The sequence below is a fragment of the Homo sapiens genome, chromosome 14, assembly GCF_000001405.40.
Source record: "Homo sapiens chromosome 14, GRCh38.p14 Primary Assembly".
NCBI lineage: Eukaryota > Metazoa > Chordata > Mammalia > Primates > Hominidae > Homo > Homo sapiens.
In genome coordinates, this window is record NC_000014.9 from 23,907,936 (window position 1) to 23,934,198 (window position 26,263).

The window sequence follows — 26,263 nt, forward strand, 5'->3', positions numbered from 1 at the left end:
TGACCCCACTTAATGACAAGGGTCATTCAGTCCTGTGAGGATGAGAATTCTCTATTTCCCTGCTGTTCTTTGTCACAAGAAGCTCAAAATAACCAAATGGCAGCCATAGATTATAGCTGAATAAGGCTTTTGCTTATTCCCAAATAAAAGCATTCCCCTTTGAGATCTAAGACCTCTAAATTAACAGAGTCCACAGATGTAGGAATGCAGCAGGGTACGGGGTGGGGGATGTCCCCAAGTTGGCCACTGGGCATGATGGTAAACAGAGCCACTTCTGCTTCTACCCCTTGGTTCCCAGGGAAACTGGAAAGTCAAGATCTGGGGGCATCAACTCTGATATGTGTCAGGGTCCCACTTCTTCCCACCCAGATCCCCTGTCCTTGGCATAGCAGACCCACCTTATGTGGGAGTTTAACCTCCTTTGGAGCTCCTCTACTCTTTTTTAAAAGGTCCTCCAGCTTTGACAGTTTTTTTTTTTTTCTTTAGCGATGTCTCGCTCTGTCACCCAGGCTTGAGTGCAGTGGTGCAATCTCAGCTCACTGCAACCTCCACCTCCTGGGTTCAAGCAATTCTTCTGCCTCAGCCTCCCCAGTAGCTGGGATTACAGGTGCCTGCCACCATGCCGGGCTAATTTTTGTTTTTAGTAGATACAGGGTTTCTTCATGTTGCCCAGGCTGGTCTCGAACTCCTAACCGCAAGTGATCCACACCACCCCCCAACGCCTCAGCTTCCCAAAGTGCTAGGATTACAGGTGTGAGCCACCATGCCCAGCCAACACTTAGCTTGTAATACCTGATTAATTACTTTCAGCTTTTTATTATCCTTTTCCTGAGTGTCAGTATAGTTACCACACCCCCCATATTTCTCAAATGCCTAATACCTTGTTCCAGTTAATGCACTCCCTTCCACAAGTATACCATCGCAGCTCATCACCAGTGAGCGACTGCACCACCACCTTCTGCTACTAGCTATCGATGCCCCATCTACCACCAGTGATGCCAGCTGGGTGGCTGGTAATCCCACTCTAAGACACTGTCTCCTCATCTGCTTTCCAAGAACATCCCTGGAACAACACACTGTCCCTGTTTAGGTTTCCAGGAAGCAGACTCTGAGATGGAGGTTAGCATGCAGGAGGCTCACTGGGGAGTGCTTTGAGTATCAACACCTGTGAAAGGGAAGGGAGGGACGTGGGAATGGGCAGATGATGAAGTTCAGCTGCAATGCAGTCTCAATGAATGCCTCAGCCAATCCTGCAGAGAGTTCCGAAGATGGGGTGGCCATCAGAGCTCTCCTGAGTTGGGGTGTAAGAGCTGGGCTCTATACCACTCATTAGTCAATCCTGGATGTGGGCTACTGGGAAGGGGCATGACCCTGGGCATGATGGCTCTCTTCAGTTTAGGAAATCACAGAGGAGGTTGATGGGTGAGGGCTCTCTGCCAGCAGCACTGCCAGCAGCTGGGATAATAAATCCTCTAACCCTGAAGGGCGATTGGGTAGCAAATATCAGCAACCACCACAAAACCCAAGTTACTGAAAATAGACATACCTGTTATATACACCCTTAGGTACTGTGTGTCAATATAAAAATGTGCCTGGGGATTGTGTGCTCTGTCCTCTGCTCATTTTCCTGTACCTGGGAATCCCGAATTTCAGAGTATCTCTGACATCTGGGAGCCTATGCCCTCACAGGTGGCAGAATCCATTACAATAATCTCTTTATGGATCACTCATGTGGCTGTTGGCGGGAGGCCTCAGTTCCTCAACACACAGCACTCTCCTTGGGTTGGCTTGAGTGTCCTCACAACATGGTAGCTGGCTTCCCCCAGGACAAGGGGTTGGAGAGAACAAGACAGGAAGCCTCAACACCACTTACATCCTAGTCTCAGACATCATAAATCATCACTCCTGCCACATTCTATGCTTTAAATGTGAGTCACTAAGTCCGTCCTGCACTTAAGGTGAGGGGAGTGGGTTCCACCTTTTGAAAGAAGTCATATCAAATAGTTGTGGACATATTTTTAAAACACTATCTATAGAGAGAAAGATATTCTCCAAATCAACAGTGATAGATACTTCTGAGGCAGGGTGTAGATGGGAGGAGTAAAGTAAAAGGAGGCTTTTGTTTTTTCTCTGTTTTTTATAAGAAGAATTTACTTTTGTAAATAAAAAATAAGAATATTCTTGATTGTTGAAAACATGGCAACCAGTGAAACTGGGTGGGAAAAGAGATGCTTATCTATGGAGCAGATTGTGATTTACTGTTCTCCTCTACCATGGTTTATCCTGCCTGACCCCATCCAACTAAACACAAAAGAATGAGAAACTAAATGATCATTACCAGCAGCTTCTCCGAGGAGTCATCATTTTCCTAGCACGTGAACAAGGAGTCTGATGACTGCACTATATTGAGATGTGAAAGGTTGGGGAAAAACATTAGAGCCATTAGTCTGTTCCTGCATCCCTATCCTTCATCCACAATTTCATTTAATGCAGAAATTATCTTATTAGCTTTGATGGCTTGATCACAGGCTCTGGCTGGGGCACAGACATCCCAGGAATATCCAAGAGGGCAGAGCTACTCGGTGGGAGATTCTACACCCTCGTGGCCCCTTCCATCCAGGCCCTTGGGTGCACTCCCTCTCCTGAATCCCACATAGACTGCCATTCTCCGACATCTAGGGCCAGCCCAAGTATCTCCAGGCAGGTAGGGAACGCTGTGGGAGGATCTGTCAATGTCCAGGCAGAGAAATCACACAGTTGCTGGATAGGAGCTGTCTGTCTCCTGGGATTTTTTTTCCCTCCTGGGAGTCAAGATGTCTCCACCCTATCTGGGCCTTTGCTGGCCCCTTCAGGCAAGGGAAGGAACTTCAGCTTTGTCCGCAATCACAGAGCTCATTCCCATCTCCCCAGGCTCCCACACCTCCTTCACCTGGTCCTTTGCATTAGAAAGACAGAGTCCCCAGATGCTAAACTATATGGAGGAAACCTGGCCTGTCAGAGCAACAATAGGAACAAATAAGACCTTCTCCCCTGCCTATAGGAAAGTACTCTGTAAATGTGGGCTATCCCTGTCAATTTACAGATCAAGAACCATCCTGTGAGCCTCGAAGGCATTGCGAGAGATACCCAAAGCTCAACCACTAGCTATCCCCAGTCTCTATTTGTCTTGCATTTGTCATTTGTTTATGACTCTCTCCCTTTTGAAGGAGATCACACTGAAGAATTCCCGGTCTTGGAGACATTTCTGGATTGGGCAAGGCTGCTTCCACAAATTGGGCCTACTGTCGGTGTGGGCCAGACTGCAGACAAGAGGCAGCCACTCTAGAGAGTGTAGGCAGTCACAGTGTCACTCCAATTCCATCTGCTACCCCTGCAGGACTTAAGAGGAAAATCTCCCTCTGACCCCGTTCCCTATCATAATACACCCTATCTCTAGACACCCTGCTTTTCTGAGAATGTTCACCAGGGTCAAGGTCTGGGGTCAACAAAGCTCAAGGGTCTACCCTACTTTAGGAATGAGAGTATCACCTCAGCGGCTTCCGTAGAAGTAGCTCCACACATAGGCCCTGATGTTTGCTTTCAGCAATCAGGTGGTGAGGATTTTCCCAGCATCTCCCTGGTCAGACCACAGATATGATTAAAGATGAGTTAACAAAGGGCAGACTGACGCCTTCGAGCTAAGGATTAGCTTTGCACAAAATCGTAACAATCATCTAAAGGGTCATCCTTCCCCCAGCTGCCTAAGCCCTTTATTCAAGAAAAAGCATGGCCCATGTGAGAAAGGGCTTAACATGTTTAGGCTGCTATACTGGGGATGCCTTATAATCCCATACAGGAAGTGGATGACTTCTGCCCAGTGAGCTTTTTCATATAGTATCCAACCTGGAAGTTGTTCCGCTCTCTTCAAGAGCCAACACTACGTATAAATACCTCAGGGCAAAGCAGAAGGAGATAAGCCTTTCCTAGATACTAAGCAATATGCATTTTCACAGAGCGAACAATATACCATCTACAGTAGACCGAATAATGGCCCCAAATATATCCACATTAATCCCCAGAGCTTGCAAATGTTTTCTTATGTGGCGGAAAGGACTTTGCAGGTGTGATTAAGTTGAGGATCTGGAGATGGGGAGATTATCCTGGGCTGAGTGGGCACTAAATGTAATCACAATGTAGTTATAATAAATGTACTTGCAAGAGGGAGAAGAGAAGAGGAGGTGATCTTACCACAGAGGAAAGAAGGTGATGTGATGCAGAGATTGAAGTAACTCAGTTTGAAGATGAGGAAGAGGCCACAGAGAAGGAAAAGAGGTGGCAAGCAGATGTTGAACAATACAATAGATTCTCCCCTAAGATGCTGCAGAAGAGATTGGCCCTTCCCACACCTTGACTTGAGTCCAGTGAGACGATCTTGGTTGGACCTTTGACCTGCAGAACTGTGAGAGAATACACTTGCATTGTTTTAAGCCACTAAGTGTGTGGTAATTTGTTACAGCAGCAACAGGAAAGTAATATACCATCTTTAAACCCACCATTTTGTGTATTTTTAACAGCTTTATTGAGGTGTAACTGACATATTTAAATGAGCTGCACATATTTAAACTGCACAATTTGATAAGTTTTGACATATGTATACATGCGTGAAACAATCATCATAGTCAAGATAGTGAACATATTCATTATCTTCAAAAGTTAACTTACACACCTCGTAATCTGTAACTCTTGGTCCTCCCTGAGCCCTTGCCTTCCAGGTAACAGCTGATCTGTTTTCTGTCACTATAAATTAGTTGCTTTTATGTATAAATAGAGTCATATAGTATGTACTCTTTTTTGTCTGGCTTCTTTTGCGCAGCCTAGTTATCAAGACCCAACCGTGCTGTTGCGTATATCAATATTTCATTCCATTTTGTTGCTAAGTAGTATTCCATTGCTTAGATATATTTTAAGCACTCACCTGTTAGTAGACTTTTGGATTATTTCCATTTTTTGGCTCTTTAAAATAAAGCTGCTACGAACATTCATGTAAAAGTCCTCATATGCTTTCAATTTTCTTTGATAAATACCTATGAATGGAATGGTTGGATTGCATGGTCGATGTGTATTTTACTTTTTAAGAAACTGTCAAACTGTTTTCCAAAATGGTTGTACCATTTTACAGTCCCAGCAGCCACCATATCTTGTTTTTATGTTATTCAAATTATTTTTTTTTCGTTAATTGAAGCTCATCTCCATCCCTAAATAAGGTAAATAAATGCAGTATTACTTTTTGTTTGTCTGTTTGGTTTTGGTTTTGGTTTTTGGTTTTTGTTTTTGTTTGTTTGTTTGTTTGGAGATGAAGTCTTGCTCTGTTGCCCAGCCTGGAGTGCAGTGGCATGATCTCTGCTCACTGCAAGCTCTGCCTCCTGGGTTCACACCATTCTCCTGCCTCAGCCTCCCCAGTAGCTGGGACTACAGGCGCCCGCCACCATGCCTGGCTAATTTTTTTTTTGTATTTTTAGTAGAGACGGGGTTTCACCATGTTAGCCAGGATGGTCTCAATCTCCTGACCTCATGATCTGCCTGCCTTGGCCTCCCAAAGTGCTGGGATTACAGGCGTGAGCCACCGCACCCAGCTGTATTACTTTAATAGTAATACTTTAAAACAACAGAGAAAAAATTGAGTATCAGATGGAGGAGACAGGGATAGAAAGAAAAAATGGTAGACACGGAGAGGAAATTGGAGGAGAGGAGTGAGACAAAGGAGAATAAGAGAACAAAAAAGAAAGAGGGAGAAAAAGTGAGAGAGAAACACAACAAAGTACTATCAATTAGAGTCCCCACAAGAAACTGATGGCTTGTGCACAGACTAGTTGAGGAATTTTTAATAAAGGGACTATGACAAATATGTAGGAAGAACTTCTGAAACCAACAACGTGTCATGTAGTTCCTTGGTTACCATCTCTAAGCATGAAGGCTGTCAGGGAAGAGAGATTTTGGGCACCCTGAGAGAGCAGCTACTGAAAAGGACCACCCACCAGAAGTGGGATGAGCTAACCCTCTTGAACTGGAAGGGAGTGAGCTGCAGTAATAAACTCCCCAACTCACTCTGCACGCCACCTCCCAGTGCCTGCTGATGACTTCCTTTAGCCAAACCCAGCTAGAAGCCAGAAAGCATAAGTCTGTTGATGATGTTCATTTGGGCCAGCCTCTCTCCCTGGCCTGGAGTGGACAGGTAAAATGTGGATCTAGAAAGGAAAGAGAAGACACCTAGTACAGGAGCCAACAGAGGAAAGGGACAAGGAGCTGAACTGCTTTAACATCTTCCTCCATTTGTGACAGGAAAAGGTTGACAAAACAACATGTAAGTATTGAGAAACATGCCTGGGGGTGCAGTGCCTTGTGATGCACAGGGCTGCTTACTCTGTGCACCAGAATTCTGACTACAGTTGTCAGCATGGGCCATTCCATTTTGAGATCCGTTTTGAAAGGTTATTAACTTGGGCTTTACAAACAAACAAGTCTAATCGTATCCTCCTTAGAAAGGGAAACCCTCTTCTAAATCATGAAACAGTGTCGTGGCTTTGTGTGAAGTGTGGACTATGGAAGCAGGGTCTACAGCAGGAAGGCCCGGGACTCATAACACTGGAGACGCTTTATGGGGAAGACAAAAAATGTCCTTAAACCTTGGAGGAGATAGATGCACACATTTTAGAAGGACAGGTCATCTCATCGGGTGTTTATTCTTCCAATTTATCAGATGACCTGCCTGTCCGGGGTTAATCATCTCCATTTTATCCATTTTAACACAAGGACTGCAGGCAAAAAACAAGATGATCAAAAGCAGAATTCAAGCACCTGTCAGATCCACTGGAAGAGCTGAAAACTTTCTTTCTCTGCAACCTTTTTATCTTTTATGTTTTACTTTATTTATTTATTCGTTTATGAGGCAGGGTCTGGCTCTGTCACTCAGGCTGGGGTGCAGTGGTGCAATCTCAGCTCACTGCACCCTCCACCTCCCGAGCTCAAGTGATCCTCCCACCTCAGCCTCCTGAGTAACTGGGCCTACAGGTGCACGCCAACACTCCCAGCTAATTTTTGTATTCTTTGTAGAGATGAGGTTTTTCCATGTTGCCCAGGCTGGTCTCTAACTTCTAGGCTCAAGGGATCCGCCCACCTCAACCTCCCAAAGTGTTGGGATTACAGGCGTGAGCCACTGCGCCCGGCCCTTTTTTATTTTTTAATCTCATAAAACTCTAAAATTTATCTCCTTTAAATTATATCTACATTTCATCTTTTATGAATCTTTGTGATGACCATAAACAAGCCATTCATAATCAGATTTTTAAAATTTTATTGTTTTATACATTTTTTATTTTATTTTATTTATTTATTTATTTATTTATTTATTTATTTATTTATTTATTTTGAGATGGAGTCTCGCTCTGTCACCCAGGCTGGAGTGCCGTGGCATGATCTCGGCTCACTGCAAGCTCTGCCTCTGGGGCTCATGCCATTCTCCTGCCTCAGCCTCCCAAGTAGCTGGGACCACAGGCACCCACCACCACGCCTGGCTAATTTTTTGTATTTTTAGTAGAGACAGGGTTTCACTGTGTTAGCCAGGATGGTCTCGATCTCCCAACTTCGTGATCCACCCGCTTCGGCCTCCCAAAGTGCTGGGACTACAGGTGTGAGCCACTGTGCCCCGCCAAATTTTTTTTAAAATTTAATACTTCTATAAAGACAGGGTCTCCCTGTGTTGGCTAGGCAGGTCTCAAACTCCTGGGCTCAAGTAATCCTACTGCCTTGACCTCCCAAAGTGCTGGGATTATAGGCATGAGTCACCATGCCCAGCCAACAAGATATTTTTAGAACACTTTCTTATCTCAGGTGGGAATACCGAGGTGTTTTCTTCTCATCTATTCTATGAACATATCAGTGGCTAATATTAATACATTTTCCATCCATTTTTTACAACATAGACACTGAAGGGAAACCTGGAGGGTTGGTAGTAATTTTAACAAATGGATATGCAGTCAAGTTCCCTTTAATTGGAGCTTTTTGTGATCTGAGTTCCTTGTTCTCTTTGTTCAGAACATCTGAAGGGGAAAGTTGAGAAAAGTCGAGCTTACTGCTATTAATTGCTTCTCCCAGTTTCTGCAGTCCAAGAATCACATGAGGTGATACGATATGGATTCCAAGTAGCTTGGTATGGTTCCAAACATTTTGATAAGTGGAAAGATAGTCAACAAAATTTCCTATTCACAAATGTGAGCCAATTCACAAATGTGAGCCAATTCACAAATGTAAGCCAATTCAGGGTGGAGTGGAAAGAACAGCTAGATATGAGGTCAGGAGTTTGGCATTCTAATTCCAGTTATTCTGCTAACTAGCTGTATGTTCTCAAGTAACGTTAACTTAATTCCTCTGTGTCTGTTTCCTATATCCTTCTAGCAGAATTATTATACTTACCAAGACTAATATACCTGAAAGTGGGCATCAAGCCATTCAACAGAAACAACCTTACAGGCGGGTACTGCCCAGGAGAGGCTTAATGGTGTTAAACAGGAAAAACGAAGGTAAGGAATGACCTAGAACAGCACAGCAGTTAAAAGACCAGGCTAGGATGTGGTACAAAGAAAGCAGGCTTTTTAAAAAGGCTTGAAGCAGAGCAGCAGCACAGGCAGAATCCCCACACCACGGAGAGCCAGAAGCCTTCCCCAGATGAGTAACTTAGTAGCAGGGATTTTGTAAAACATATTAGAGTCTCCTCGGGATTACAACCGATTACGACTCTGGAGAGGCAAACTTTGAGCAAGTGCATAAGCAAAGGCCCTGACATCAGATGGAGCCCTGTACAGAATGACATGGGGCAAAAATAATAAGAGACACCAAGAATAAAAATAAGCAGAACATGAAAACACAAGAACAAGGGAAGTCCCGGCAGAGCAAACAGTATTCTCTCAGCCCTGGGTAAGGGTTTTTGCCAATCCTGTGAGGGTGAATCCACTTCATTAATTCATTCAACAAAAGTATGTGGAGCATCCTCTCTGTACTAGGAACTTACCAGTTTGGGGGCAGGGATACAACCATGAGCACAAACAGCTGACCTTGGAGCTTACAGCTAATAGGGAAGACAGAGCAAGGACCATGAAGGAAAGCAGCCAAAGTGCTGTAGGAACACATAGACCAAAAGGCTAGGGAGACGACAGATCCAAGCACAGAACAGCAAGGGGAGAGGCCCAGACAAGACAGCAAGTGCATTCAAGAAACTGAAGGGCTAGCCCATGAGAGCAAGGAGCAAGGGCTGTGTCAGATGAGGCCAGACAGGAGAGGAGCTGGGCCATGCAGGACCCAGAAGGCCTGGTTAGGGATTTTACTCTTTGCCCTGAGAATAGGGGGAGGCCACTGAAAGGTTTCAAGCACACATGTGTTTTGGTAAGACCACCCTGGCCCATTTGGAAAACAAATCAGAACCCCCTGTACATCATTTAAAGTTCATTCTCTGAAAGCATGACCACATTACCTGTATTCCTGTGGTGTTGTTTAATAAAGAATTTGTCTGGTCTTAGTCCAGGGTTCCTGGCATGGAGCTTCTAGAACCCTTGGAATTTCCCAAGCGACAGAAGTGTCTTCATTATTCATGAGCCAGCTGAGTTCATGCTAATGAGAAAACCCATGGTAGCCCCCTAGATAGCTTCAGGATGGGGCTGTTCACCAGAAAGACTCAGCAGAAAGACCAACCACATGATTAGAGGGTTGGGACTCTGAGCAATGTGATGTTAGCTCAGCCTGACCTCTGGAGAGGAAAGGAGGGTGGAGATTGACTTCAATCAGTTGGCCACTGATTTAATGAACTATGCCTACATAATGAAACCCCAATAAAAACTCTGGACACCAAATATTAGTGTAGCTTCCTGGATGGTGAACACATTGATGTGTCAGAAGGGTGACAGCATCCTGATTCCACAGGAGAGGGCACAGAAGCTCCACACTCTGGACTCTCCCAGAACTCACCCTGTGTATCCCTTCCTTTGGCTGCTCCTGATCTGTATCCTTTATAATAAAATTGTAATTATTTTTTTAAAAGTGTTTTCTCAAGCTCTGTGAGACATACTAGTGAATTTTTTAACCTGATGGGGTTGTGAGAACTCCCAAATTTGTAGCCACTTGGTCAAAAGTGCAGGTGGCTTAGGGGCCTCTGAATTGCAGCTGGCAGCTAAAGTGAAGGAAGTCTTATGGAGGACTGAGCCTGTAACTGATGGGGTCTGCACTAGCTCCAGGGGGTTACCACCAGAACTGAATTGTAGTATGCCAGGTGGTGTCAGACCAGCTGGGGTTGAAACAGAATGCATGCTAAATTTTATTTTAGTCATTCTTAATTTCAAATCCAAGAATCCTTTGTTTAAGGAAGAAACAAACAAAATTCTCGTCCCAAAACTAAGAAATGGGAAGATTTGTCTAAATTGGAGAAAAAACACTGGCTTTGGACAGCTCAAAACTCAGACCTTGTTGCCTAGCACCAAGCAGTGAGCCCCCAGTGGGTTCAATACGATTGATGCTTTCTTGTTACTAGCCCTAAAATAACTTGGGGGGTAAAATCTTGTTATTCCCACACTTCAGCCTCTTCTCATTTGTTTTTGAGAAGTGTTTTCCCATGGCCTGAGTGTGCACCCCTGCCACCTCAGACGGTCCTGCCGTGGGCTCCCCTCCCAACAGCTGATGTGGACTCCATGTTTTGGTAACCTTTGAAATGGAACTCTAAACTTTCATACCTTTAAAAAACTAGCTGCCCACTTGATCATGGTGGATAAGCTTTTTGATGTGCTGCTGGATTCGGTCTGCCAGTATTTTATTGAGGATTTTTGCATCAATGTTCATCAAGGATATTGGTCTAAAATTCTCTTTTTTGGTTGTGTCTCTGCCCGGCTTTGGTATCAGAATGATGCTGGCCTCACAAAATGAGTTAGGGAGGATTCCCTCTTTTTCTATTGATTGGAATAGTTTCAGAAGGAATGGTACCAGTTCCTCCTTGTACCTCTGGTAGAATTCGGCTGTGAATCCATCTGGTCCTGGACTCTTTTTGGTTGTTAAACTATTGATTATTGCCACAATTTCAGCTCCTGTTATTGGTCTATTCAGAGATTCAACTTCTTCCTGGTTTAGTCTTGGGAGAGTGTATGTATCGAGGAATTTATCCATGTCTTCTAGATTTTCTAGTTTATTTGCGTAGAGGTGTTTGTAGTATTCTCTCATGGTAGCTTGTATTTCTGTGGGATCGGTGGTGATATCCCCTTTATCATTTTTTATTGTGTCTATTTGATTCTTCTCTCTTTTTTTCTTTATTAGTCTTGCTAGCGGTCTATCAATTTTGTTGATCCTTTCAAAAAACCAGCCCCTGGATTCACTGATTTTTTGAAGGGTTTTTTGTGTCTCTATTTCCTTCAGTTCTGCTCTGATTTTAGTTATTTCTTGCCTTCTGCTAGCTTTTGAATGTGTTTGCTCTTGCTTTTCTAGTTCTTTTAATTGTGATGTTAGGGTGTCAATTTTGGATCTTTCCTGGGATGCAAGGCTGGTTCAATATACGCAGATCAATAAATGTAATCCAGCATATAAACAGAGCCAAAGACAAAAACCACATGATTATCTCAATAGATGCAGAAAAAGCCTTTGACAAAATTCAACAACCCTTCATGCTAAAAACTCTCAATAAATTAGGTATTGATGGGACGTATCTCAAAATAATAAGAGCTATCTATGACAAACCCACAGCCAATATCATACTGAATGGGCAAAAACTGGAAGCATTCCCTTTGAAAACTGGCACAAGACAGGGGTGCCCTCTCTCACCACTCCTATTCAACATAGTGTTAGAAGTTCTGGCCAGGGCAATTAGGCAGGAGAAGGAAATAAAGGGTATTCAATTAGGAAAAGAGGAAGTCAAATTGTCCCTGTTTGCAGATGACATGATTGTATATCTAGAAAACCCCATTGTCTCAGCCCAAAATCTCCTTAAGCTGATAAGCAACTTCAGCAAAGTCTCAGGATACAAAATCGATGTACAAAAATCACAAGCATTCTTATACACCAACAACAGACAAACAGAGAGCCAAATCATGAGTGAACTCCCATTCACAATTGCTTCAAAGAGAATAAAACACCTAGGAATCCAACTTACAAGGGATGTGAAGGACCTCTTCAAGGAGATCTACAAACCACTGCTCAAGGAAATAAAAGAGGATACAAACAAATGGAAGAACATTCCATGCTCATGGGTAGGAAGAATCAATATCGTGAAAATGGCCATACTGCCCAAGGTAATTTACAGATTCAATGCCATCCCCATCAAGCTACCAATGACTTTCTTCACAGAATTGGAAAAAACTACTTTAAAGTTCATATGGAACCAAAAAAGAGCCCGCATTGCCAAGTCAATCCTAAGCCAAAAGAGCAAAGCTGGAGGCATCACACTACCTGACTTCAAACTATACTACAAGGCTACAGTAACCAAAACAGCATGGTACTGGTACCAAAACAGAGATATAGATCAATGGAACAGAACAGAGCCCTCAGAAATAATGCCGCATACCTACAACTATCTGATCTTTGACAAACCTGAGAAAAACAAGCAATGGGGAAAGGATTCCCTATTTAATAAATGGTGCTGGGAAAACTGGATAGCCATATGTAGGAAGCTGAAACTGGATCCCTTCCTTACACCTTATACAAAAATCAATTCAAGATGGATTAAAGATTTAAACGTTAGACCTAAAACCATAAAAACCCTAGAAGAAAACCTAGGCATTACCATTCAGGACATAGGCATGGGCAAGGACTTCATGTCCAAAACACCAAAAGCAATGGCAACAAAAGCCAAAATTGACAAATGGGATCTAATTAAACTAAAGAGCTTCTGCACAGCAAAAGAAATTACCATCAGAGTGAACAGGCAACCTACAAAATGGGAGAAAATTTTCGCAACCTACTCATCTGACAAAGGGCTAATATCCAGAATCTACGATGAACTCAAACAAATTTACAAGAAAAAAACAAACAACCCCATCAAAAAGTGGGCGAAGGACATGAACAGACACTTCTCAAAAGAAGACATTTATGCAGCCAAAAAACACATGAAAAAATGCTCATCATCACTGGCCATCAGAGAAATGCAAATCAAAACCACTATGAGATACCATCTCACACCAGTTAGAATGGCAATCATTAAAAAGTCAGGAAACAACAGGTGCTGGAGAGGATGTGGAGAAATAGGAACACTTTTACACTGTTGGTGGGACTGTAAACTAGTTCAACCATTGTGGAAGTCAGTGTGGCGATTCCTCAGGGATCTAGAACTAGAAATACCATTTGACCCAGCCATCCCATTACTGGGTATATACCCAAATGACTATAAATCGTGCTGCTATAAAGACACATGCACACGTATGTTTATTGCGGCATTATTCACAATAGCAAAGACTTGGAACCAACCCAAATGTCCAACAATGATAGACTGGATTAAGAAAATGTGGCACATATACACCATGGAATACTATGCAGCCATAAAAAATGATGAGTTCATGTCCTTTGTAGGGACATGGATGAAATTGGAAATCATCATTCTCAGTAAACTATCGCAAGAACAAAAAACCAAACACCGCATATTCTCACTCATAGGTGGGAATAGAACAATGAGATCACATGGACACAGGAAGGGGAATATCACACTCTGGGGACTGTTGTGGGGTGGGGGAGGGGGGAGGGATAGCATTGGGAGATATACGTAATGCTAGATGACGAGTTAGTGGGTGCAGTGCACCAGCATGGCACATGTATACATATGTATCTAACCTGCACAATGTGCACATGTACCCTAAAACTTAAAGTATAATAAATAAAAGAAAAAGAAACTGAACTGACCCTCTAAAAGAATGACGATATAAAAAAAAAAAAAAAACTAGCTGCCTACATAAGCATCATTTGTCAACTCCACAATTCCTCATTTTCATACCCTTTCTGGATGAGCAGACTCATTAGTTATCTTCTTAACAAATTAACAAGCATTGAATTGGGCTTGAGAGCAATTCATCTAAAAATTTTTATTGAACATTTCCTAGGAATGACTATAGTAAAAATTCAAATTAGTAGTGGGCAGGAAGTACCAAAACCAGGGAATAAAATACCTCTTACAGAATGGGGTCTTAATAAGGCATTTCAGTCCAGATAGATTATATTAATAGGCTATACACTTGATATGCCCCAAACAAGGCACATTAATTAGCAAGATACTGGTATTTATAATTAACACATCATTTTAAAAATTCTGTCACGAGTGGTCTTTAGGTTTTTATAATCATTTGTATTATAAATTTGTTTATCAAATTTTTCCTAATTTGAAGTAACATCTCATTATAAGTGATTCTCAATAATCCTTCTATTCCATGTTGTCCAAAGTGGCAATACTTCTGGTCCCAGCAGTAATCTGTGTCATAATCATTGTCCAGAAGGAAAACACCTAGTTGTTCATTCTCTTTATCATAGATGGAGCTGGAAGAACACAACGAACCTTGGAGTAATTCAATTTTTTTCCCACTCTTTTACAGCAAATGCCATTTTACCGCTTTCTTCTCCCCTCATGTCCTTGGATATTCCAATCATTCCTTCCAGAAAAACACATACTGAAAAAATGTTTTTTAATGTTTAGAAGTTGGAGATAGAAGGAAATGAGCTAGCTAGTATTGTCTTCCTTGTCTTATTGGGTGTAGAGCTCTTAACTAACTCACTTCACAGTCTCCAGGCTTCCTTCTGATTCATCTCCAGAGTCTACACCCTTAGTTACTGCTGTTATCTACTGGTTTTACAAGGACCACATAGAACCACAGGGCAGAGAAGTAGCTAGTGGACTCTACCCACAGTTTCCTGGGCTAGTCCTCCCTTATTTTATGCCACCAAAACTAACACAAAACTTAACTACAGTTTCTTACTTTGGGTCGACTTTATCAAGATTTCTAGGGGATCACTAAAAATATGTAATTACCTATTGCGTTCCTGAATATAAAGAAGAGAATTATAATATTCTCTATTTCAGAGTAGAAGAAAGAAAGTATAAGGCATATAAAAATGTGTGTGTGTGTGTGTGTGTGTGTATGAACACACACTCTTTATTTATATTTTGGCTCTGTTTTGTTTCTATGCGACTTGTGATTCTGTACTTCTTCACCCAGCTTTTCACTTTTTTCAAAACATTTTCCCTAAGAGACTATATTCAGAGATACTTTCAGGTATCTCTGATGCAGGTAGCAGTTACCAGTATCGAGTGTATCCTGACTAATTAGAAAGTCAAAGTGCTGTAGGCTGGGCACAGTAGTCCACACCTGTAATCCCAGCATTTTGGGAGGCCAAGGTGGGCAGATGGCTTTGAGCTCAGGGGCTCGAGACCAGCTTGGGCAACATAGTGACACCCCTCCCCTGCCATCTCCACAAAAAATATAAAAATTAGCTGGGTGTGGTGGCACACACCTGTAGTCTCAGCTACTCAAGTGTCCGAGGTCGGGGGATGGCTTGAGTCCTGGAAAGGGGAGGTTGCAGTGAGCCAAGATCATGCCACAGCACCCCAGCCTGGGTGCTCAAAAAAATAATAATAAAACAACAACAAAAAATCTGGTAATGTCATTGATGAGGTTTTTGTTATTTTTTAATCCTTGACTACATGACAGAGCCAGCTAAGATTTTTAAGTGTTATTTTCATTCCCATTAAGAGATAAAACATTCTTGGTCACAGCAAGAACCCGGACAACTATTTCACCTCTCTTTGCATGAATTTCACCTCAAACACACACATACAAAAATCTACTTCAAACAAACCATTATCATTAACTTTAAAAAATCCATAAACTCAGCAGAAGAGAGCCTTTCTCCATGCCATGACAGAGAAAAATACACCACTATTATTCAAGAGACCTGGGGAAAAAGGTTTGAAATTTTTTCCCCTTGAAAATAATAAGAAAAGCAAATAACAGTCTTTTAGATTCTGTGAATAAGGCAATATAGCTGAAATTTATTATACAAGATCTTCATAAAATCCTCATGCTACTTCAAATTTCATTTTAGGGCTTTGTTAAATCTGATGGCAGAAATAATTAAAACACATGCGTTAAGAAATGAAACAATAAATTTTCCTCTGCTAAGTGATAAGTTAGCAGAGGAAAGTTCTGTGGAACTTCTCATCCACAGAAATCAGTTGTTATTCCCCAGGATCTAAAACAAGACTGCACTGGTATTTGTGTAAAGGGCTCAGGGTAGACACCAACCAGCATCATCTGGTGCAGCTGGAACTCATGAGAGCAGGATCAGCCCAGCTAGGTCCCTGCCCTCCCAGCCTCCTGTTGAAAAGTGTGCTTGGGCCAAATGGATAAATGTGCCATGGGGATGCCAGCACGGAAACTCCACCCCTTGATATTCTTCCATTTAATGAGGTATGTATAAAGGTAGTCTTGCGTGGGGGAATAAACATGTTAGATAACACACCAAGCAGTTTCAACCTGACATGTCTACTGTGTAGGAAAAGTCTCTCAGATGTCACTGCATCCAGAACTTGGAGACCTTGGGAGCCCTCCATCCCAAGGGACATTGAGTCTGAGAGCTGGCTCACTGTCAGGCAACTTAGAGGCCCCAGGGAAAGGGTCAGATAGTGCTGCTTGTCTCCACAACTTCCAGCAGTATAGAGTTGGGTATACACACACAACGTATACAAGTATATAGCTGTGTGTTTGTAACATTTGAATTTAGACAAATTTGCTTATACGTGCCTTTTCAAACATGTCTCATAACATATGTAACCTAACATATATGGGTGAAAACTGTTCACATGATTTTTTTTACAGATCCCACCTTGAAACTGCAATTATTGGTCCCCTCAAAGATTCAAGAGAGCTCATCAGAAGTGTTAGCAATGACAGCCTTGCTTACAGGCAAATTATTAAGAGAAAAAACTCATTGACATCCACTGGGTACTTCACATTGCATTGTTGTCCTAAACTTAAGCACACTGGTCTTCCTCCTCTTTTCCTTTCATTTTTAGTAGTTTTGCCATCACCCTAGCTAAAAATATAAAGTCATCTTTGCTTTAACTTCATCCATCTCCCCCATCAGTCACCAAATACTGTGACCCTCCTTCCCAAGTTGGAGGGGAGTGTGACCTTCCCCCAGCACCTCCTGCTGCCTCTGTCCACACTCTCATTGCTCCCACCTAGGCTAGTGCAACAGGCCCTGGGTTGTCTCCCTGATGCCCCTCTGGCCTCCATAGTCTCCGGCGTTGTCTTTCACTCATTTCACAAATGCTCATTGATTTCTTACTATGAGTCAAAAGATGGGTGACTTACTGATGACACAAGGATGAACAAGACCCCCGCCCCCGCCCCGCTGTCAAGGACCTCGAAATCTAAAACACAAATTCCATCCCCGCCCCCGCCCCGCTGTCAAGGACCTTGAAATCTAAAACACAAATTCCATTTTGTCGCTCACCTGCCTAAAATTCTCCAGGGGACCACCATGGCCTATAGGATGAAATCAGAATGTATTAGCACAGCACAAACTGTTATTGCCCATACTCAAGGGATCTGGCCCCAATCTGCTCTGTCTCATCTCCCACCATTCTGCCCCATGTGCCCAGGTTGCAGCCACCCCAGCTACCTATAGCCTGTTCACCCTTCCAAGACTCAAGCAAACCACACCCTCTACCTGGAATGCCCTTCCTCTAGCAAACTTCTAGGCAGCAGCACCCTGAGCAGGTTCACAGAGTCTACCGTGGATGAATCAGAATGCCAAGTCAGCGATTTTCCATAAACCCCACAAACGTGTGTACGGCACCTACCAGGCCAGGCACTGAGGGCCCTTACATGATTTATCATTATTCCTCACAAGGAACAGGAAGCTACTCTTAGTATCCCATTTTACAGATGAGGAAACTGATACAAAGAACATCATATAATTTGCCCAAGGTCACCGATAGGAAGTGGCAGAGCCAGAATCTCAACCTGGTTCCAAAATCAGTGCTTTTAACTACTTTGGTAAACAATGAGAATTTCTGGAGGACAGAAAGTTCTATCCCTGAGGGGCAGGCTACAAGGGAAGCCAAATAACGCTATGAGAGGTTACGTGGTAACCATGCAATCGGAAAAGCGTTACTGTAACTCAAGTGTTTGATGGGGGTCAGGGTAGCATAAAACATCCTTTTCCACAAAAACACAATGCCTGTTTCTGGACCCAGAGACACCATGGCCTTGGGCTGGGCACTTCACCTGAGCGGGGCATAGACTAGCATGTATGCCTGCCTCTCCTCCTCCTGGGGTCTGTGGGTCTTTAGCTCTTGTTCTAATTAACAAAATACCTTCATTCAGGCCTGGGAGTCACTCCACCTCCTTAATGTGACTGGGCCCCTCTCTGCTCTGATGAGTTATGCTGGTTTTACAGTTTACAGCTCAGAGAGCGCTTATGTCTGCTATTTCTTGCAGATGTTTTCACTCTTGCCTCCACGAGGCGGCTAATATTACCCATTTTGAGGATGACAAAATAGTGAGGAAGGTCACAGAGCTGGTCCTCAAAGCGGGACTTGAACCTCGGCCTTCTGACTGCCAATCCTGTTCTTTCCATGCTACTCGTTGTTTAAGAGAAGAAGCCTTCAAGATCTGCAGCTAACCCAACCCCACTGGCTCCGCAACCCTGGGCCCAGCCTGTGCGTCTGCTTCCTCCCCAACTCGCACTGGTCTCAGCAGCCATCCCAGGAGGCGCCCCGGCTCCACGCTTCCCTGGTGCCTCAACTTTATGCACCCAGCATGTCTGGCCACAGCAGCCACCCACTGCATGCACCATACCTCAGTGTCTGTCCACACTACACCACAGTGAGCGGTCCTGGCCTGCCTTGGCGCCACCCTGCGGCTCCTCTCCTTGCCATCCACTCACACTCTTCCTCTGCCGTCTGTGCCACCATCTTTGCAGTTTTCTGCTCCCTTGGCCACAGCTCCAAGATTCTACCTGGTCTCCACTGCTCCATCTGGACTCCTAGGCAGGCTCACTCCCACCTATTGTTCTCTTTTTAGCCTTGGCATTGTCTCCACTCTCTGCCTTTCCATTTATATGGCACAGTAACTAAATGTTTTGCATTTTCCAACACCACACTGACTTCAACTCTTCTGTCCCACCATCAGACCGTTGGGGAAATTTTACAGGTCAGAAATATGTAGATTTATTGTGCCTAGACATCATGTTTTCATTGGCACCACACGCAAAGAATACAAAATCCAAAAGGCACCAACGAATATAGCACATATAGTAAAATTAAGTCACTTCCTAGCCCTCTTCCCCAGGCCCACAAGCCCCCGCTTCCCCTACTCAGGGGCAGCAACTGTAAGCAGTTTCTTATGCTTCCAGACATAGTCCGTGAACCTCTGACTTGGGCGGGATTGCCAGTGTTTCAGCAGCAGCATTGGCAACTTTCTAACCATTTGTAAATGTAATAGTATATAAAGATTTTTTAAAATTCAGCTTCGATTCCACCACCCTAAATTAACTCATGTCATTTCTCTACATTGCATCCCAATTTTTATCTACATACACACATTTTTCATTGTTTTAATCATAGTATGGTTAAAAGTTTAGTTCTACTTCCATTGCTAATTTCTTACACATATTTCATCTTCATTATTTTTAACAGCTACATAATATTCATTTGGGGTAAAACTCAGTTCTTCAGTTTTTATTCCAAGTTTTCACAATTGTAAATATCAGTATAACAATCTATAATTTTTTCTTCTTTGAATTATTGCTTTAGGACAAGTTCCCGGAGTGGTAGTATTGAATCTAAGGAATGTTTCATGTCACATTTAGCCAAATAACTCTCTTAGAAAGGTCAGAGCAGTTGTAATTCCTCATACAGGTATAAGGACACATCTTACTTTTGTTCCATCAAATACAATAATTATACTTATCAACAAAAAATGCTTCCTCATGATGTTCTGTTTATATATTTCTGTAATAAATAAATAACTCAGGTCAATGTCTTCTCTTTAGGTTTCTGTGTTTAATGCAGACTTCTGTTAGAAGCAGTCCTCAGAGCCTGTTGGAATAATGTGAGTGAGTGACTGGTTGGATTTCTAGGACCTCAAAGAGCTTTTAGTTCTTTGTCGCGCCCCACATGAAAGGCAGTTTGGCAAGGTCAAGTATGGTGGGGATGCATTCTCTCTCTCTCTCTCTCTCTCTCTCTCTCTCTCTCTCTCTCTCTCTCTCTCATCCTTGGTAACATTGTTTCATATCCACTGAGCTCTTTTTATGTTACTAGAAAATCCAATCGTGTTTCCAATGTATATTCTTTTAAGAGATCTTCTCTTTTTGCATGTCATCAAAGATGTATTTCCCTTATTATTTAAAATATATATAAGACCCCTCCCACTTTGGAGAGCAGGACCTGGACTTGAACTTGGACTCTTCACTTACTAGTTATATCCCTTGGGCAAATCACTCAGTTTCTTGGAGGTTAATTTCTATCTGTAAGATGGGAGATTAATAATATCTGTCTACCTCACATTGTTGTAAAAATCAAATGAAAAGATGTATAAGTGTGAGAACTGTTTCCTAAATGTTCGTAACTATTCTGTTAGACCATGTAACTCTTCTCTATTTCAAGTCTAATCTCTTATTGATTCTGGAATAAAGTATTCCTGCATCTTTAGTTATTGATTTAGGACCTTTTCTTTCTTTGGCTTACTCAGGAAGTCTAACTATTCAGAAATTGCAATACTCAGATCTATTCCCCAGATCTGCCCTCCTGAAGTGTTTCATTTCTTAATTTAGTTTCTTTAAATTCTGGATCTATTGCTCAGGTTTCTTTACTGATTTAAGTGCCATTTCTGCTTTGTGCAGTTTAAACATGATTTTCAATGTGTCTTTTGCAATAATCATTACTTTCATTCTTTTTTATTCTGACTTTCACTAGGGAGGATGTAATGTCCACTTGATTTCTTTGAAAAGAGGCTCCAGCCATTTTCTGAATTCTGTGTATGGTTCCCTGTGGTTGTTTCTTTCTTTGGGATTAATTAAAATAAAGTTTTTTGTGTGGGCTCATTGGGTGTTTTTTGAAACTTTTTTAGAAAACCCACATTGATTTTTTTTCAGTTTAGTGCATTCTCCCTTAAGTTACTTCAGTGACTGGTCTTTGCTGTACTGCTGAAAATTCTTTAGTAACATTTTTCAATTAATTTTAAGAGAATTTGCAATTAGGAGTTTGACTGGTTTTCTACTCACTCCAATATTTTCCCGGATAATTTTTTTCTACCATGTCAGGCCTTTCTATCTTCTGATTCAATGGAGTCTGGAAAGAATCCAAAGTCTAATTATGGGATTAGAACAAGAAAGCCAAGTACTTTCAATGGAAAACTGAAAAATGCCTTTTTGTGCTTTGTTGCTGCTGTTAAGGCTCAGGCTGAGTCTAAGAAAAGGGAAGAAAGATTGGAATACTGAAATAAAATCTTACCAAAAACGCTTTAATAACCTTACATATTAGCTGCATTCCTAAAGGCTCTGAACCTTCCAGGCATCTCGCAAGCGGCAAGGGCCGCATTCATTTCTTTGGCTATAAATGAAGGGATGCTAAATTATTTCCAAGGTCACTTTTCCATCTCTGAATTTCTACAACATTAAATAATGTTTAAGCTGCGAGTTCAGGCATGAATTAATGTAACCAGAATTATTCCCACTTCTTGCTACCCTGCCCACAAAATGCACACACACACACCCCCACTTTGATTTCCCGATTTTTAAATTGTTCAAATCAATTGTTATGAAACATAAAATGAAGCCGGGAGAGAGAAAATGAGGGAACCGAATACAAAATTCCTCCCTTCTGGAATCAGGGCAGCCTCTGCACCCCCAGATCTCCTCCAACACATGAGGTACTTAAGAGGAGACCCCTCAAGGCAGCACCCTGCCAAGGCATGGTTGAGTCACCAAATCTCAGCCGTTTGGACTGTGAGGGGAGACCCTGCAGCCCTCTGGTGGACAAAAGTGGCATTACAGCCTTCTCTGCATCCAAAAGGTCACAGCCCATCTGAGATGGAAGCGTGATGGATCTATCTGCAAGCGTGACCTGAAATCCTAACCAAGGGCCAACCTGCCCAGGACAGGCTGGATCTTTGCCTCAGAAATGGTGCTTTTGTCATTTTGAGAAACATTATCCCTGCAGATTTCAGATTTGAAACTCAAGAAGGCTATGGTGGATTTCAAATAGGGTAATGTTAAATGGCCTACATTTTTACTAGTATTGTGGGCACTCCTACCAGAAGAAAAATTTTTTAATTCCATATAATTCAGAATGAAGTTAATCAGAATGAAGTTGTTCCCCACTCCTTTCTTGTGTCCTTCCAGCCCTCAGGATGGTAGCAGCTTCCGCTGCCACTAATATGTGGTTGTTTCACCAGCCCATTTGGCTTCTCAGCCCAGTCCAACGTGTAACCAATTTCCTGTTTTAAATTCCCTCTTTGAAATGCCTACAATGATTTTGTTGTGCTTGGCAATAGGAATATGGCAGTGACCAAGACAGACTTCGTTCCAGATCTTATGGAGCTCATAGTCTAGCTCAGGAAAATAAATATTAAATAAGCACTCATTCAGTTAATAATTATTTCAAAAAGGAAGTACATGAGAATGCATAGCAGAGGAACTTAACCTGGAATAAGGATAAATTTTGTAGTTCCACAGGTGACACTAGAAGCTAGAAACTCTAGGCCAGCAGGACTTTACACAGAGACAGTCCCACAGCTATGATGGAAGCACAGAAAGTTGTGATGTTGCCTCTCCTCCTCCCTGGGTCCAGCAGGGAAGAAAGGAAGGGTTCCTAGCCAAAGGCGGAAGTGGAGGATTTCAGGCAGGATTCAGTGCACAGTAGTGACAGAGAAGCAAGGATGGAGTTCTTCTGACAGCCTGCAGGCACCCAAGAAAACTTGGCTCTGCTAGATCTGGCCAGGAAAGAAACCAAAATCTTGAAGGAATGTGTCATCGCCCTGGCAACCTCCAAGCCACGGGAGTCAGACAATGTCCAGACCAAGCCTGACTCAAAAAATGCTTTCCCAAAGATTTAACCTATAATATCACAATATTTCCCCAGTCTCCTCCTGACCAGCATCATATGATAGGGTACGAGGATGGGAGAACCAGCCTGCTGCTGTGCTCTCTTGTCCCAACAGGTGTCTGCTCCTGTCTTGATGAGCTCAAAACATCCTTATCTTCTCTACCTGTCAATACTGATGAACACCAGATTACTCAACACCCTGATGCGCCATGCCAAATCCTAACAACTCTCAATTTATATCAGATGGGATAGGCATACTTTATTCAGCTTTGCTATTTAGATCAGGGGTCCCCAATCCCTGGGCTACAGACCAGACAAGTCCATGACCTGTTAGGAACCAGGCTGCACAGCAGGAGGTGAGTGGTGGGCGACCAAGGGAAGCTTCATCTGTATTTACAGCCACTCCCCATCACTCGCATTACCGCCTGAGCCCTACCTCCTATCAGATCAGCAGAGGCATTAGATTCTCATAGGTGCATGAACCCTATTGTGAACTTCATATGCAAAGGATCTAGGTTTCACACTCCTTATGAGAATCTAATGCCTGATGATCTGTCACTGTCTCCCATCACCCCGATGGGGCCATCTAGTTGCAGGAAAACAAGCTCAGGGGTCCCACTGATTCTACATCATGGTGAGTTGTACAATTACATATATATATATATATATATATATATATATACATATATATATATATGTATATAATATATAATGTAATAATAATAGAAATAAAGTGCACGATAAATGTAATGAGCTTGAATCATCCCAAAATTATCCACCCGCAAACCCCACAGTCCATGGAAAAACTCTTCTACGAAACCAGTCCCTGGTGCCAAAAGATTGGGGACTGCTGATTTAGATCACTGTTTACAAGATCTAAAGTTTTTTGAACAGAGAACTTCTACTCCCTTACCACAGAGGGAAGTCATTACTCGCCGTCCTGCCTTACAGAGTCCCCGATAAGGAATGAGGGAGAGAGCAAAGTTTCAAGTCTTCTCTCTCCAAGTTCACTGCCTATTCTAAGTTAATATTAGATGACCTTAGAATGCCTAAACAATTATAACTCCACATATTACCCCCCACAGGGCCTTGGTCTGTCCTTTGAACTCCAATTACATTTAGTGTACACTGTCAAACTCATGACTCAAGAAGTCATTATGGGTTAGTTGCAGCAACTGAGGCAGGCCAAGAAAAGGAGGGAGCTCTGATGTTGCTTGAGACCCTTGGATGAGGGCCCAGAGCAGCCCTTCTCAATCTGGGCTACATGAGCAAACTAAGCCCTAATGCCCAAAGGCATCTATTTTATGTAATGAATTAACTTATATTTCTCGTTCTTCTAGAATGGAACTAATTATGTCACATCCTAGAGAAACTGAGAAGACAGTCACTCAAATAATGTTCTGTAGACCTTAATTCTTTCCTGGAAATCCTGTTGAGAAAGGCTGGCCTAATAGCAAAAGTAGGTTCCAGTAATACTTTTGTCACTCTCTTGAACCTGTCTAATTCAGAGGACCGTACACAAATGATGACAGTCACACAAGCATCAGCACAACGAGGGAGAAATGTATATTGAAAGGACATGGGTATAAAGACATAGCGAGAAAACATGGAAAAGCTACTAGGCAACCAGAAGAGCCCCAAGAAGGCCACACCCAGGTCTCCCGATGGCCTTTTATCTTCCTTCTGCACAAATGAGATACAGCAGATGCTTATCAATTTAACAAGAGATATCTGACCCCTCCAACTAACCAGACCCATTCCATTTTAGCAGAAGACAACCGAAGAAATTAAACCTATTTTTATCTAGCATGATCGCCTTTGCAGTGTCCATTTTCTGGATATATCCACACAAAACCAGCTTCTCCCCTCATCACCCTCACACTCTCCCACCCTCAGTCCACTGAGCCCTGTGGGAAGGAGTGAAGGGGTGCAGAGGAACTAGTTACCAACAGTGACTATGTTCCATGGGATAAAGAAAGAGTGGGACACTGGAGGGAAGATTCATATGATCTGCCTCGTGGTCCCAGAGTTCTGCCGACTGGGGCAAGGTTGAGCCACTCTGTGGGAGAGATGCAGTGGAAGGGTGGAAAAGAGGTGCTGATGAATCCCACTTAGTTTAGTGCTTTTTTTGGCAGTTGTTTTCTAGGTGTTTCACTGATGCGTCCTATTTCCTCAGCTAGCTTGTAAATTCCTTCAGTGCAAAGATGAAGTTTATGCTGTAAATCTTTAATTTTCTACAGTGTTTAGCACACTGCTTCTCCTGCAGATGCTTGATCAGCATATTGTTGATTAATTAGAATCTGCTTGGGAGGAAAATGGTGTATCCTTGCAACAATTACAGTTAAGGTTTATGTTGAAGTACTGTATGAATATCATGTAGCTTAAAATATTTAATACTTGTGCACTATGAGCCAAAGCTCTCCCCCACATCCTGCCCTGCTATGCTTCATGGGAACCACCCACCTTGAAAATTGGACAGAAACAGAATACTGAGTGGGGAGGGGGCCTCCTCACTGCTGGAATTTAGCAGAGCTCCTCCTGGAAACAGCCCAAAAGTCTCTTTCTCATCTAACTCTTCGGGAACAGCAGGCAAACCAGAAACTGACCGCCCATCTCCTTTCCACCCCTGCTGCCCCCTCCAGTCAGAGGTTTGTCTCATGCTACCCCCATGTGAAAGCAACGCTTTGCTGCTGAACTCTAGAGTCCCAGCAACACTCACCTCTTGCTACTCGCAGTGAGCAATCAGCTTGCATAGCCCATCCCCAGGGCCTTCAGGTCAGCCTCCGGACCACCTCTGGTGGGGTCCTAGTGCTCCTCTGTGGTCTGAAGCCTGTGAAATCTGACTGCCAGTTTCAGGCTGGGGATCACAGGGCCCTGACCCCTGCTGTGGCTCCCAGATCAGCCAGGAGCTTGGATATCAAGACCTTGGAGGGAGTTTGATGCTGAAAACTGACACCAAACTCCCTCCAAGGTCTTGATATCCAAGCTCCTGGCTGACTGGTTCAGAGACTTTAGGAATGCAGCTAAGTAACCTAAACACACATAAAATTGACTGATTCTCAAAACCCAGTGGAGTGGCCTGATGCCTGTAATCCCAGCACTTTGGGAGGCCAAGGCAGGTGGATCACTTGAAGTCAGGAGCTCAAGACCAGTCTGGCCAACATGGTGAAA

At 42.9% G+C, this 26,263-nt stretch overlaps 2 long non-coding RNA genes across 2 annotated transcripts in view; both read right to left on the reverse strand.

The window, feature by feature from the left end:
* LINC00596 (long intergenic non-protein coding RNA 596) overlaps window positions 1–26,006 on the reverse strand; it is a 95,219-nt gene extending 69,213 nt beyond the window's left edge. Inside the window, exon 1 of the long non-coding RNA XR_001750659.1 lies at window positions 25,812–26,006. This is a non-coding gene — a long non-coding RNA (long intergenic non-protein coding RNA 596). The remainder of the gene's footprint in view (window positions 1–25,811) is intronic.
* On the reverse strand, window positions 19,979–22,079 carry LOC105370411 (uncharacterized). The gene is made up of 2 exons (XR_943618.2): window positions 21,271–22,079; window positions 19,979–20,086 (listed from the first exon to the last, which is right to left on the reverse strand). It is a non-coding gene; the product is annotated as an uncharacterized LOC105370411 (long non-coding RNA).
* Window positions 26,007–26,263: the final 257 nt, after the last annotated feature.